This window comes from Homo sapiens, chromosome 18, assembly GCF_000001405.40.
Source record: "Homo sapiens chromosome 18, GRCh38.p14 Primary Assembly".
NCBI classification, from domain to species: domain Eukaryota; kingdom Metazoa; phylum Chordata; class Mammalia; order Primates; family Hominidae; genus Homo; species Homo sapiens.
Window position 1 is genome coordinate 31,093,383 of NC_000018.10, and position 16,348 is coordinate 31,109,730.

Sequence of the window (16,348 nt, forward strand, 5' to 3'; positions counted from 1 at the left end):
ATGCAGTGTTTGATTTTCTATTCCTGTGTTAGTTTGCTGAGAATAATTGCTTCCAGCTCCATCCACATCCCTTCCAAGGGACAAGATCTCGTTCCTTTTTATGGCTGTGTAGTATTCCATGGCGTATATGTACCACAGCAAAACAGGATTTATTACAAATTTTAGGGCTTCCTTACCTCTACCAACAAGTTTCTCGGCATCTAGTTTGGAGGGAACATGTAATGTCACATTTTTGCAGGCATCACTGGCAAATATTAAGATCTAAAAAATGAAAAAAAATCAAATAAATATTATGCATAAAAAGAAAACTTTAATGTGTATATTATTTATATAAATTATAAATTTATAATGATATACACATAAAAAGGCATATAATACTTATATAAATGTTAATTATATTACATATTGACTACACTAAATATTAATTTTAAAATATTTAATTAAATATAAATACATGAATTTATATTTATAATTATATGTGATTTATGTTATTATAAATAAAACATAAATAAAATATTGGAGATAAAATAAAAACATATTGGAGAAAGAAATCAGGACAAAAATATATCAAGGAGAAGAATAAAACAATATACTGAGTTCTAGCTTCCTCCTGCAAAAAGCTTGTAAACTCAAAGAGTTATGTATGCTCTTCAGCTTTGTTTACTATATTGTAAAACGTATGTAATAACTTCACTGATTAACTCAGTGGGTACAGTGACGATCCAACAACAGCCTAGGTGGGAGAGTGCTGAAAACTATCAGGAAGGCAGCACAGGTATATACATAGGAAAGAGAAAACCAAATTTACTGAGGCAGCAAACTGTTTCAGTACATTTTTAATTGCTTATGAGATATGATATCAAATCAATAATATCCTAAACAAAAAGTAAATGCTTTTAAAGACAAACATTAACTTATTGCCATGAAGTGATTTGGAGAATATTTATGTGTTACTCCACACAATAGGCACATAACTTTGAAATATAAAATTATTTTGAAGGTGTATCTTCTCATAAATAAAAGTTAAGTTCATTTTAGAAAATAATTTACTTAAAAATTTTCAATGGTTTAGTGATTCATGGTGAACCAAGTCCAATGCAACATATACGTAAACACACTGAAATTTAATTTTGTTCTGTCTGAAACTTTACAATGGATGTTTCTCAAAGATTCACATTCTTTTTTTCTAGTTTTACAAACATCTTTGACCAAAAGCAAGACAGTTAACTAGCATTTACACTGTTACTTACAAAGTTTATAAATATAAACTAAAATCATCAAAATTTGGATGGAAATGTTTATTTTTAATATATATTAAAGACTTAAATTATCCAGTTTTAATTACATTTGAAGGATCAAATAAGGCAGAGGTTGTGTTTCATTTGGAATGTTGGGATAGACACAATGAAGACATTAGTTTTGAACTGGAAATTAAATGATATGAAGAATTTTCACTGGCTGCATAGCCAAGAGAGAATAGGAGTAGAATCAGATGATTCTGAAGATTCCAGCTCAAGGTGATTGGAAGAATACATTCACTTATTCATTCAACCAACATTTACTGGTTGCTTAGTAGGTGCTAAACGGATTCAATGGCTAGAGCAGTGAACAAAGCCAAGTCCTTGCCTCACGAAGATTACATGATAATAAGAAGCAAAAGAAATACACAAATGCACAAATGTCACATAATGCCAAGGCAGCGAGAGATAAATGTCACGACAAAAATAAAGCAGGGAGAGAGGGTGACAACGAGAATACCTGAGCGTAAATGAAGTGAGGAAGTAAACCAGTTTTCTAACCAGGGAAGAGTCTTCCAGGTAGGGCAAGAACCAGAGTAAAGACCCTGGAAGGAGACTTGTGTATTGCAGAAACAAGGTGGTCATAGCAGCAGAGCACAGCGAGGGAAGAGTGACAGGAGAAGAAAACAAAAGGACAGTCAATGGCAAATGATGTAGGGTCTAAAAGGTCATGGTAAGGAGTGCAGATTTTGTTCTGAGTGCAAAGAGAAGCAACAGCCTGATGAAGAAGCTGTGGAGTGGCGTAAACTGATATTTATACAGAATCACTCTACTAGTTATGTGGAAAATAGGTTATAGAAGAGCAAGAGTGGAAACCAAGAGACTGATTGGGAGACTACAGCAGGAATCTAAGAGTGGGGTAATGGTTACTTGGGCTAAGGTAATAATGTTGGAGAAGATGAAAAATGGTTGGATTAAGACAATTCTTTGAATAACAGTATCTTGGACATCCATCCATTCATGCATGAATTCAACAAATATTTACTGAATGTGTATCATGTACCACACACAGAGCAGTAAACATGATCCTCATGAAACATTCAATCTAAGGTAAGACATATTTGTAATTTCAACAAAGTAAGACAAATGTAATGATAGGGAAGTACAGGGAGCTATGGGAGAGCAGAGGTAATAGTGATATCTAAAAGCCAGGTGAGGTCACCTGAAGAGCGGCTACAAGTGAGACAGGCTAAGAGGAGGCAGAGCTTAAATGCTGCAAACAGAAGAATGGCATATGTGAAGGCCCAGAGATGGCACAGACCTGAAGAAGAAATCTGGAATGGTTGATGTGTGTACCAGAGCGGGGGCAGAGGTATAACATGGGCTCAAAGAAGTGGGTGTGGGCCAGATTTTGAACGGCATTAGCAAAGCACATGGATCTTTTTTCCTAACGAGAATGAGAAACCAAAGATTTACTTGGAGCAAATAAATTAAATAAGCAGCTTTATATTTGAATGTGATAGATCTGTCCAATGTGGAGAATGGAAAAAACTGTCATTTTCAATAATAACAAGCTAGGTAATTAAGAAAAACCTATGCCAAAACTAATTAAAAATCAGGGATAACATTTTTCAAACATCCTAAAGCATCAAAGAGCTAACAAAATAGCAAGCAATTGCTAGGCCAAAACTGAAGATAAAGCTGGAACACACAGTGATAAGAGGAACTCAGGAACAACTTCTGATCTGCAAAGATTTGACTCTGCTTTGCTGGCCTCTGGAGAGAAGGAGAATGAAATCAAAGCACAGGGCCCACCTAAGATCTAAGAGGATCCGCTCCACATTAATCTGGGACCCAAATGCTAAATCTTCATTACAAATTTGAGCCACAAGTAAACTGGCCCTGGCGTGGATCTGTGATCCACACTCACATCTTTTGCTTGGTCCAGAAACTTCAAGCCATGAATTTAACGAAGGCTTGACATGTGATCACCATCATAGATGCTGACAGGCACTTGACCAAATTCAATAACCATTCTTATTTTTTTTAGTCTCAAAAAATAAGAATTGATAAGTACTTTTGCAATGTGATCTTTATAAATTATAACACAACACAAATGGGAAAACACTAGAAGCAATCCAATTAAACTCAGAAACAAGACAGGCTCTCCAAGGTCACTATATGTAGTTTACATTATATTGAAGGTATATTTGCAAGAGAAGGATATTAGATAGGAAGATGTAAAAAAAATCTCTGCATTTGATATGACTGTTTACCTGGAAAACCCAAGCAAATCAACCATTACATTACTATAAAACAAGAAGAGACTTAAGTAAGGAAGCAGAAATAACCATGAAAATATGGTTAGTCTTCATACCCATAAACAAAACCAGTCAGATAATACAAGAAATTTCCACTTTGGGAGGCCGAGGTGGGCAGATCACGAGGTCAGGAGATAGAGACCATCCTGGCTAACACGGTGAAACCCTGTCTCTACTAAAAATACAAAAAAAAAAAATTAGCCAGGCGTGGTGGCGGGCACCGGTAGTCCCGGCTACTCGGGAGGCTGAGGGAGGAGAATGGTGTGAACCCGAGAGGCAGAGCTTGCAGTGAGCAGAGATCACGCCACTGCACTCCAGCCTGGGCGACAGAGCGAGACTCAGTCTCAAAAAAAAAAAAAAAGAAATCATTTTCAAAAGCAATTAAAAGTTGAAATGCCAAGGAGTAAATTTAACAAGAAACATGTAAAGCCTATTTGAAGGAAACCTGAAAACATTTCTGCAGGGCAGAAAAGTACACTTGCAAAAAAAGAAAGACAAAAATCAACAACGTATCTATATCGATTCTTACTAAGTTAAATTACAAATTTTTTGATACCAATAAAAACCTCCATAAAATTTTCTCTGGAACTAAACAAGCTGATTTAAAAGGCTATAAGGAAAAAATAAAAAATTAAGATAGGAAAATTATTTTTTAAAAAGCAATGAAAGGCTATCAACCCTAGCAGATATTACAAATCATATAAAATCTCAACAATTAAATCAATATGGTACTGGCATATGAATAGAATGATATTTGACCCACAGGAATTGGAAAAGAAGAGGCAAAACAATTTGTATTTGCATTAGATATGACTGCGTAAAGTCCCTAAAAGTTGTAACTTTTTATTATACCCACCAATAATTTATGAGTCAACCACATACTTGCCTACATCGCACGTTGTTGAACTTTTGGGTGTCTGCCAAGTGTGAAATGGCATTTTAATGTAATTTTTTATTCATATTTTATTATGAGTGAGGTTGACATATTTTTATAACTTAAGAGCCATTTTACTACTTTATGGATACTGTTACATCCATGTTGCACTTTTTCTTCTTGACTTACAAGAGCTCTTTATGTATTAGATTAGCCTTTTAAATATGACCTATGAATATTTTTTCCAGTTTATCAATCACCTTTTGACTTTGCTTGTTGTGTTTTTGGTTGGTTAGAGGTGTTTTTTCGCCATGAAGAAGTATGTATATATGTACTCTTATATAATTGTTTTTCTCAATTGTAATAAATTGGCTTTCGAAATCTAAGTCATAACTAGGCCTCGTGGGCTCCAAATTTATATAACAATTTATTACGTTTTCTTCTATTATCTGTAGGGAAACATATTTTACATTTAAATCTTTCATCTCTGGAATTTTCTGTGGTGTTCTGAATGAAGCATAGATTCAATTTATCTTTACACCAATATATATATCCTCGATCATGTGATATCTATCATAAAATAGCTTTCTGTCTAGCCATATACAATGTTTATGGAGGGAAGAACAAAATCTAACAAAATTAGACACTTTTTTTTTTCTAACAGAGTCTTGCTCTGTTGTCCAGGCCGGAGTGCAGTGGTGCGATCTCGGTTCACTGAAACCTCCACCTCCCGGGTTCAAGTGATCCTCCCACCTCAGCCTCCCAAGTAGATGGGATTATAGGTATGCACCACCATGCCTGGCTAATTTTTGTATTTTTTGTAGAGAAGGGGTTTTGCCATGTTCCCCAGTCTGGTCTTGAACTCCTGAGCTCAAGTGATCCTCCCACCTCAGGCTCCCAAAGTGCTGGGATTTACAGGCATGAGCCACTGCACCTGGCCTAATTTACACTTTTATTTGTCAATCCCATTATTGGTAATCTGTCCTACTGATACACCTGCCCACATATGAAATGACATACATTCAAATTTATTCATTGTGACATTATTTGTAATAGCAGAAGTGACAGGTACAAGTGAATAGACCCCTGAGCTGTCTTTGAATGTAGAGTTCATGGAACTTCATGGATTAAGGAAGGGGAGCAGTGAGAAAGAAAAAACAAACAGCTTTCAGACTTCCTACTTGAGGAACAGGCATATGGTACTGACATATATTGAAATACAGGACACTAAAAGAAAAACAACATTGTTTGGGAAGATAATAAATGCTGTGTCACACATCACAGTCAGTAGAGTGATACAAAGGACTATTGTTCAATGAAGACATCTGAACTAGTAATATTAATTTAGTATATGTTGGCAACTGTGTGATATTTTAAGCTATAAAAGTGGATAAAATGCCCTAGGGAAAGAGTGTAGATTCCAAAGGACAAGACCTAGAACAGAAAACCAAGAGACACCAGCATTTAAGAGTGCAGGAAAAAGTAGTCAAACTCATAGAAGCAGAAAATAGAATGGTGGTTGCCAGGTGACGGAGGTTAGGGGAAACAGGGATTTGCTGTTTAATGGATATAAAAGTTTGGTTATGGAAACTGAAAGTTCTAGAGATCTGCTATATGACATTGTGCTTATAATTAACAATACGATACACTTAGAAATGTGTTAGGAGGGTAGATCTCATGTTATGTCATTTTTACCAAACCAAAAAAAGACAACAGAAAAAGAAGAAAAAGACAAGACGCTAGGTAGGGAGTCAGACCCTGAGTGGTCAGAAAGATTAAAAAAAAAGGCGGGGGGGAGTGAATGTCAAGAATAAGGGCAAAAGCTACAAGGTGGAACCATATAAAGAATGAGTCATTTGGATTTAGCACAGGAGAGCCAGTGATCTTAGAAGGTTTATTAGTGGTTAGCAGAAGACAGAGTTCAAGTGGCTAAGCCAGGTGTGGTCTGAAGAAACATTAAGAAGTGAGGAAAAGCTGATTTGTGGAATGGTGAAGGATTACTTGGGTATATGGGAAGGAAGGAAGGTAAAGGATCCTACCCTCCTACCAAAGATATTTCTCCCCCCTTTTTGAGACAGGATTTCGCTCTGTCACCAAGGCTGGGATGCAGTGGCATGACCAGGGCTCACTGCAGCCTGGACCTCCCAAGCTCAAGCAATCCTCCCACCTTAGCCTCTCTCCAGTGACTTGGACCACAGGCGCGCACCCCATGCCCAGCTACAATCATTCTTACTTAATAATTTCTTACACTTAGTATTTACGCATTTCTCACACTTGAGACTCACAACCACAACAGCCACGTGAGGTTGGCAGGGCTTTGCACAGATGTGCACAGAGCAAAAACCAGCAGAATGAGAGTGTAGGCAGGGCCAGCATACTTCCTACCCCACTCCCCGCCTATCAAACTCCGAAGCTAAGGAAGAACAAGGAATGGAAATTCAATTTCAGTGTATTCAGTGATACCCCACCTCCTCCTAAACAGAATCTGAGATAACACACAGAAAGCTCTCTCTGCAGGTATATGCAGAGCAATGCCACGCATTGCCAGCGTCTGTGCATGCCTTTTCCTTTAAAGAATGGCCGGTGGTTTTAAAAGAAATTGCAATTTTATTAGGAGTCTAATGAAAATTTATTTCTTACTCATCAACATATGTTCTGACCGTTATTTATTCCATTCTTGGTTTCCTCATCTGTAAAATGTTAACTGCTGTGTACTTGGCCCTTTCTATGTTATTAATATGCCCTGAGAATTCAGTTAAGGGTTTGAAGTCCATTGAGCTCCTCGAGAAAGACATTCTAATAACAGTAACAATTACCAATTCATGATTGTAAAATGTGGAACTCTACTGCGAAGTGAGAGCGGAAGAGAAGGGGAAATTATACGAATATTTCAGCCCCCAGTTCACTTCTCCCAGAAGGAATTAGCCTTCCGGGTTCCTCCCTTTGTCCTTCAAGATTGATTGGCGCCCAACGCCTTCTGCTTAAGACAAGGAGCACTTTTCCACACCTGTCGATTTTTTTCCTCTTCCAGGGAGCCAGGAAAAGTCCAATCGGACTTTTTATATCCCCAATTCCCCAGACGCTGCTCCCGGCATTGGCTTTTTGCGTCTTCAGGCTCCCCAACGAGATCCCATCGGTCAAGCCTGGGAAAGGGGCTGTCCCGCCCCAAATAAGGCCAACCACTTAGGCTCCCAGCTCTGGGAAGGGGTAGGGTCATTGCTGTAGTGCTCTTTAAAGAAAGAAAGAACCTGGGGCAAGGGGCGGTGGCGCGGGGGGCGGGTGGTGAGCAGAAAAATCGAGTCGCCTCTGGGGACAAGAAATCAGAAAGACCCTTCCTTCCTCCGAAGATTTAGGGAACTGAAGCCTCGCACGTTAAGAAACCACTGAAACTGTACAAATGCTCACCTAGGGCTCGCCGGTCGACAGTCCTCAGGAGCAAAGGGTCAAGATCCCCTCCCCCACCCGCCACTTCCCCCCGCCCTTCTCTCAGAGTAAACAATTCCCAGAAAGGCGAGCAGTTCCCTTTTTCACCCAAGGACACTCGCTCTCCGTCCCGGCCGCCCAGCGGTTCCCCTTTCCGTGGCCTGGGCAGGCGCTGAGGCACAGGGAGCCGCACGTTCCCGAGGCACAGGGAGCCGCACGTTCCCGAGGCACAGGGAGCCGCACGTTCCCGGGGAAGGTGCCAGAGGCCAGCTGGACGGCCCCGGCGCACTCCCGCCCCGGCGCACTCCCGCCCCGGCGCACTCCGACCCCGGCGCACTCCCGCCCCGGCGCACCCTGCTCCCCGGCGCGTACCCAGGGGCCACGATTTTGGCTGGGCGAAAGCGGCCCGCTCCCGCCTCTCCTTGAGTGCGCTGATTACATCTACCGGAGACACCTTCCCTTCCCTTGGGGATCCCAACTCTCAGGTCGCGATCCTCTTCCTATCTGCCCTCCCCCACCCCCGCCAACTCCATTTTCTAGCCACCCAGAGGCCCCTTCACCCCAGCTTTTCCCGCCACCCCCACCTATCCCCGTTCCCCTAGTTTTCCTCTGCACCCTAGGCGATCGCCCCCTTCCCCGGAGCGGTGGCCGCGGCTACACTCACCGCGAGGGTCAGCAGGAGCAGCCGGCAGAGGGCTCCGTTCCAGGAGCCGGAGGGGCGGGCTGCCTCCATGGAGAGGGCTCGGGGCAGGTCGCGGGCCGAGCGTCGGGCCGGGGTAGGAGGGCTCCGCGGGGCGAGGGCCGCGGCCGGAGCGCAGTCTGGGCCCGCTGCTCAGGAGGAGCGCGAGGCGGAGGAGGTGGGGCGCGCGGAGAGGTGCTTTTCTTAGCTTCTCTGAAGCGCCTGCCTCTCATCCAAGGGGCTTTTCCTTTGGCGGAGGGAGGGGCTCCAGACGCGTCCAAAAGACACCGATCGGCCCCTCCTTGTTGTCTATTTAAGACTTAAGACTTCATTTCTCTAAGAAAGCCACGGGTGGGAACTCCCTCTCGCCGCCACCCTTTTACCTGCGCAAGGTGTTTCTCACCAGCGGACGCCACCTATAAGGCCCATCTCCCCCACCACGCCCCGGTGTCCGCTCCGCCAGGCGAGATTAACAGCCGGCCCTGCCCAGCAGAAGCCCTGACTGCACAAAGACTCACTCCTGAGTGCGCGGTCGGCCCCGGCTCCGCCCTGCCCGCTGCCCTCGGCGACGGCCGTGGTCCCTGCCCTGGGGTCAATTACAGAGCGAGGTCTGAGCCGCAGAGGCTGGGTTTTAGGTCACAGCTGCCTGAGGCCCACCTGACAGAAAGTTGACTCCAGGGAGACTGTTACACACTCTACTGGAGTGAATTTCCTACACACACCCACAAGCAGTTCAGACATCATAGTCATCTGAGGCACCATTCTTTGGGGTCTTGTGTTTTTAGGAATTTACTGGCATGACAATGATACAAGACAATCGCCATAATTTAGAGACAAAAATACATATATACATACATACGTACGTAAAGTTAGGGAATCAAGGCGACTGCAAAATAATAAAATCGAGGGTGAGTTACTATAAGAAATGCATCCATTGAGGTCCTAGTCGTGGGCTACATGTGGTTACTGATTTTCTCCAAGAACATCCCTGGTCACAAATAGAGTTATAACTTATTTCCTATACCGGACTCCTGAACATCCAGTGGAGAGTTCTCACCTTCTTTACTACCATCAAAACCAGAGTTCATGGTGAGAAATGAATAAGAATGGGATAATTTACATTTTTATTTGAAGTGCACTTAAACTAAATGAATTATTGCAGCACACAATCTGGAAGATTAAGATATAAATGCTGTTTCTTTTAGCTCTTCAGAAAGCAATGACAAGGCATCTGACTCATCCTCCTGCACCTCTTTTCAATTACTGACTTAAACCAGGTAAGCCTGACCACAAAAGAGAAACTTGTCTGCTCCCTTTTATTTGGTTTAAGTTTCCTCAGGGATGTCCTGAGAATCCTATGTGAAAAGCCAACCCTGACACTCACACCATTTCGATTCTTGAAAATGTTCACCATCTTAACACCATTGTATGCCGAGCCAGAATTACTGCAATACTGAGTGTATATTTAAATTAAAAATTAATGTCAAACAGCGCATGCCTTACATTCTCTGTGTCTGTGCTATGCTCATGCCCTATTTTATTAACGAATGCCACTAATGAGCTGTTCTGTCTCCATATCCATAAAATTATCATTGACCCTTTGCTAGTAAAATAAGCCTGAGTCATCAGCATGAGACTATAATTGACATCCTTCCGTTTCCATATTTTTTAACACTCATAGTTTTCCATCAATGATACCATAAGCACACCTCATCCTATTAAAGATGACATCATGGTCTCTAGCATGAAGCTTTTCAGAGGACAAAAAGAAAGCTATAAGCGTTTCAGGTTCTGGAGATCTACTCAGACTATCATCACAGGCTTTGACTATAGGACATTTCCAAACTCTTGCCTACTCTTTACCCTCTGATGCCTTAAGGGCAGCTCATGTTTTTCCTCATTCCAGGAAAGGGCGGAAGAGCAATTTGACTAGAATTCATCTTAGATATTTATTTTCCTCTTTCACATTAATTGATAGAGGCTATTAAAATGGTGATTTGTTTGTTTTATTCCAAAAAAAACTTTCAACAAAAGAATGGAATATAAAGTACTTTCTCTGAGCAAGTACCCAATTTATTTAATGTATTTAGGTTAGGCTATATGGTCACTGAAATAGATCCCTCTAAAACATAGGTTTGAAACAAAGGGCATATATTTAAAAAAAAAATGGAATGTGAGTAGATGTGATCTTTTTTTAAAAGAATGACTTTTGCTTATGAATATGATTCTGCTGCATGAACTAGTTTCCCAATAAAAATATACTTTTTATAGTAAAAAGTACACCAGACCGAAAGTAAGAAGCAACTTCTTTTGTGTTGCTTAAGTAATCTCTCAGGTCTCAACACTCCCATTTGTCCATCTGTTAAGTAAGATAATCAATAATAATAAGGTAATACTGGAGGCTATCTATGGTACTTTCTACATCTAAAATTAAACTATTTAGACTGCTTATGACAGATTTTTGAGAAGCTTGGCTGGAAATGGATGTTCATTTCAGAGATAACATAGAAAGTCAGGGCCAGAGCAATCCTTAAAGAAGTGAACAATTTGCAATCCAAAGCCCACAGGCCAAATCTATCCAGCCTAGCTTCACAATTTTCTAATATCAGAGGCCAGAAACTATTAAGGGCAGCAACAACCAAAAAAATCCCACTTACTCACTGATGAGCAAATAGAGACAGCTCTGCATGAGCTTTGTGAATCCTGCCAGTTCCTCCCCTGCCAGCACCAGAGGATGAGTGATCCACAGGGACAGATGTCATCTTCAGGACGAAACCATCTCGGCATGGCATATGACATAGAATGGAATTCAAAAGCAAGGGAAACACAAACCTAACAGGCAAAAAGCAAGATTAAAGGACATTGTCTAGTTGCTTCATAGGTTGGAGCAGAAAGGGAAACATCTGCTAATCACCGTAAAATAAGCACAATTTTTTAACCTCTCAGAGCTGTTGCAAGAATTAAATGATATCAAGGCACTCAGAAGAAAGCCTGGCACATTCTAAGTGCTCCCTCAGTGTCAGTTATTGTGGACATCCATCTTCCTCGCCATTGTACGACCACATCTCTCTGATCCATTCACTTCCTCCTCATGACAGCTCCCTATTTCCTGTCCTTCCAGTACCTCTCCTCAGAGAGTTCTCTGTCCTGGTCTAGGGCTGAACCCTAGTGCTAATTCATTCACCTTCAACCCCCTCTCTTCAACACTAACCCCAGATCTTGTCTGGCATAAATGAGTTAACAATGCAATACTAAAATGAGCTGTGCAGTTTGAGTCAGCTGTGTACTTTCTGAAAATTTGAAACAATTGTTTAAAAAGAATCCTTCTCAATTTAAGAAAAAGTTTTAAAATTCTGTGTTTTCCGACAAATGCTATCTTTACTTTTTAATTCTATGTATATTTCTTTGAATTTCACTTTTAAAAATTGATCTCAGTGAAACATAGTATGCTAATCAAGTTCAATTTCTATTACATTTCAAAGTTTGTTTTTTTTTTTTTTTTTTGAGACGGAGTCTCGCTCTGTCACCCAGGCTGGTGTGCAGTGGGCGATCTCCATCTCACTACAAGCTCCGCCTCCTGGGTTCACGCCATTCTCCTGCCTCAGCTTCCCGAGTAGCTGGGACTACAGGCACCCGCCACTATGCGCGGCTAATTTTTTGTATTTTTAGTAGAAACAGGGTTTCACCGTGTTAGCCAGGATGGTCTCGATCTCCTGACCTCGTGATCCGCCCGCCTCGGCCTCCCAGAGTGCTGGGATTACAGGCGTGAGCCACTGCGCCTGGCCTCAAAGTATTTTTTAAAAATTCAAGGTAGAGTATGAAATAAATTATAAATCAGTTCTTATGACAATAGTTTTCATTTAGCAGTCACTCAATTAAAACAAGCAAATGAATTAATTCTGAGGCAATTGTGTTGAACGTGACTGGAGACAGTTCACAATGTCTGGTCTGCCTTTAATAGACGCAGTTGACATGAGCTCCCCCTCCCGCCCAGTGGTGCAATGAAATAATGTATCCTTAAAACTACAAAACTTTCATTTGTATGCTTTACCAATTAACTAACTCAGCAAGTATTTACTGAGCATCTACTATGTCTAAGGCATTGTTCTGGGCATGGGAAATGCAGTGGTGAACAAGACAGAAAGGACACTTACTCAAGGGAAACACCTACAGAATTATAAGATAGCTAGGTTGGATAAGAAATACTCTCCACTTGAGATTTATATCATGTTGACTTCTTTGGGAAAAAAAAAGTGAAGATTAATCTCGAATTAATTGCAAAATAAAATATAGAGTGTTTTATAAGGATAAAAAAATTACCAAGATAAAACTTGTTAATATCTTTTCATGGATTATGAAATGTTTCTCTAGATAACCTAATCTAGAACATGTATCCTCTTGGCTTGCTGGATTGCAATAACTCTTGGTTTTTTTCTTCCCTTGCTGGCTGTATTTATGTATTCTCCTTGGCTGGTTCCTTCTTCTCTGACCTCTAAATATTATTGTGCCTGTAAATATTTTTTTCTTTTTTTTTTTTTGTGAGATGGAGTTTTGCTCTGTCGCCCAGGCTGGAGTGCAGTGGCATGATCTCGGCTCACTGCAACCTCTGCTTCCTGGGTTCAAGTAATCACTTTTCTGCCCCAACCTCCTGAGTAACTAGGACTACAGGTGCCCGCCACCATGCCCAGCTAATTTTTTTTTGTATTTCTAGTAGAGACGGGGTTTCACCATGTTGGCCAGGCTGATCTCAAACTTCTGACCTCAGGTGATCTGTCTCTCTCGGCTCCCAAACTGCTGGGATTGCAGGCGTGAGCCACCGCACCCAGCCTGCCTCTAAATATTGCTATATACAAATACATCTGCATTGTTTCAAACCCTTGCACTCGCAAGGCTCCTTCTGCTGTAAGTACTTTGTACATGCCCTTTCCTCTTTCCCAGAATCTTTTTCTATCTCTCTGGCCTGGTTAACTCCCATTCACCCTACAAATCTCAACTTTTATTTTCTTCCCCACCTGGTCAAATCTTCCACATTAAACTGCTGCCTCTCATTTAGAGCACTTGTCACAATTGCAATGTTAAATTTGTTCAAATAATTATTTGATTAATACTTGTTTCTCAACAAAGACTACATTTCCATGATTGTAGTAACCCTTTTTTTGTTCATGCTTGTATTCCCAGCATTACTATGACTCCTGATTCTTAGTAGACACTTAATAAACATTTGCTGAATGAGTGAGCAAATGAATAAATAAATGACTAATGAGCATTTCTGACAAGCAATTCTTTGTTTTCCTTTTTCTATTCTAGTGTTTATCAGCATATTAAAGTGATGTCTTGGGCCACATTTGATAGGGTGGGAGTTCCTAGTCTAATCTCAAATATGCTGGACGTGTATTACAGTAGCATATTAATAAAATATGAGATGGGCCTACCAAACATTTCTAGTATGGCTTTTGCACAAGAACAGACAAATATACTTATGAATTTTAACTTAGAACTCCAAAGAGACCAGTGTATAAATGGATACTTAATATCTGATAAAAGTGGCAGCAGACACAATGAAGAAAATAAGGAATTATTTAGTGGTGGCATTGGGAAAACAGACTCACTATTGGAGAAAAATAAAATTGGTCCCCTACACAACCAATTTTGTATTTATACGTATACTGTGGTGGAAGACACATAAAGTTAATGAAAAATAATACAGGAGAACATCAGTGTTATACAGAGGTAGGAAAAGATTTTTGAAATAAAACCTAAAAAGCATATACCATATAGGAATAAAAAAAAACAGATACACTTGATTACATTAAAATGCAGGCTTTCTATTTGACAGGTGACACCATAAATAAAGTTGATAAACAGAAAATAGCTTGGGAGAAGACATTTGTCATGACTAAAACAGATGAGAGAATAATATCTAGAAAATACAAGGAACTCCTACATGTCAACCAGAATGTGGCAGAACCACAACAGAAAAAGATGGACAAAGAGTATTACTAGGCATACTCTTACAACAGAGGAATCTGAAGCCTACCAAGTATATTTTAAGAAATCAGAGAAAGGCACATCAAAGTCATAAAATATCCTTCTATACCTATTTGGCAAAAATTAGGAAGCTAATAGCAAATGTTGATAGGCCTGTGGATGTTTGGGAACCCTGGTGCATTGTTGGTAGAATTATAAATTTGATCAAATATTCAGGACAGTAGCCTAACAATGATTGTTCAAGGTAATAAGTGAATACCCTAAAGCCCAGCAGTTTATCTCTTGGCTAATAACCCAGAGAAATTCTCACTGAAGTCTATGAAGGGATGGTTTGTTGTAGAGGGAGTTGGGAGCAATCTGGGTTACCATCCTTGGAGAGTAGATAAATTATGGTGACAGATCCACCCCATGGATCACTGTGCAAAGTTAGAACCAATAGGCTAATGGCAATATGAATGGATCTTAAAAACATAGAACCCAGTGAAATAACTAAAAATAGAATATTTCTACATCCAATATAAATTTAAAAAGACAAAAAATCATTACACTGAACAGCAGCATTTTAATAAAAATTATATAAACAAAAACACACATTCTAAACACATTCAACTAATTTTTGTGGAGGTAGAAAGGAATGAGTTTGAGAAGCAAAGCTTGTGAAGGGGTTAATAAGGAGAAAATAATTAATATATCACAATATGTTTAAATCTCATTTATTTTAGTAAGTGGAAGAGGAAAAAATTAAATAGTATATTATTTTTTCCTATTAGTTATATGTCTGTTTATATAGCATTGGTATATATAATACTTTTTTCTACCTTATAATCAGGAAGCAGTAATGCAAGGAATTATTATTAAACCAAACGGGTAGAGAAATTAACATTGTTCCAAAAACAGGAAGGACTGTAAAACCTGGTGATCACATATAACCAGATAATAACCAGTAGTAAACATGTATTGCTGTTATTCAGTTTGTCACACACAATCACCAAATAAAAGGAGGATTTGGAGTGTATTCCAAGATGATAAATGAACCAAATATTCTCTGGAGGAGTGTTAACTACACAGATTCAATCCCTCGTCATCTATTAACAGGAGATGAATATTTTAGGTAGCCTATAATTGTAATAGAAACTAGTGAGAAAGCAAGCTTTAAGTTATGTTACCAACCAAATCAATAGATTTATAATGATAAGTTAATGGGTTTTGTCACACATCTACGTAAGGTAGGCAAAGAACAATATTTTGGGGAAGACATCTGGTTGCAAATAATAAGTACTATGTAACAAGAGTGAACATAAAACATTTTATCTACTAAGCAAATGTATTTTAATTATAGAAGGAAACTAATTCTGCTGATCAGTGCCTGAAGTGTTTATCACCTTGAGGAAAGCAACTAAATCTTGTGCTCCAATCAAAAATCAATTGACCCACATTCTGTAACCTCTGAAAGTCAGAGATGCTGTTTCTCTTCTTTTGGACCTCCTAAGAGTATTGTCAGTCCCAAAGTATTCAAAATAATATGAAATTCTAAGAAGATTATAAAATAAATATATCTCTAATCCCAGAAAAGTTTAAAGAAATGCAGAACTGGTGAAGAAATAAATTAACCCCTGTTGATATTCTAGAAAAGCATGATAATGCGTTTTGAAATAATTTTATTTATGTCTCTCTCTCATGTTTAAGATATTGAAATACTCAAAATAACCAGCAGTCTTATTGCAGTGTATATTGTTTAAATTATCTTAATTAGTCAACTTTAGAAATAATTTTCAAATGCTGAAGGAAAATTTTTCTTTGAAATTTTGTGAATAAAATGTAGTAT

The 16,348-nt window shown here is 39.5% G+C and overlaps 1 protein-coding gene and 1 long non-coding RNA gene across 5 annotated transcripts in view; one reads left to right on the forward strand and one right to left on the reverse strand.

Annotated features, from left to right (window-relative positions):
- Window positions 1-9,039, reverse strand: part of DSC2 (desmocollin 2) — a 43,582-nt gene extending 34,543 nt beyond the window's left edge. For 2 of the 4 annotated variants that reach the window (NM_024422.6, NM_004949.5), the window contains exons 1-2: window positions 8,521-9,039; window positions 177-261 (exon numbers count right to left, since the gene is read on the reverse strand). In NM_024422.6, the coding sequence (NP_077740.1) occupies window positions 177-261; window positions 8,521-8,589 (154 nt within the window). In that variant the 5' untranslated portion in view covers window positions 8,590-9,039. Of the gene's footprint in view, window positions 1-176; window positions 262-7,838; window positions 7,879-8,520 lie in introns of those variants that run through there. The other 2 variants (NM_001406506.1, NM_001406507.1) reach the window with 1 other exon arrangement.
- The window catches only part of DSCAS (DSC1/DSC2 antisense RNA), a 61,202-nt gene continuing 53,059 nt past the window's right edge, over window positions 8,206-16,348 (forward strand). The window contains exons 1-2 of the long non-coding RNA NR_110785.1: window positions 8,206-8,341; window positions 9,741-9,812. This is a non-coding gene — a long non-coding RNA (DSC1/DSC2 antisense RNA). The remainder of the gene's footprint in view (window positions 8,342-9,740; window positions 9,813-16,348) is intronic.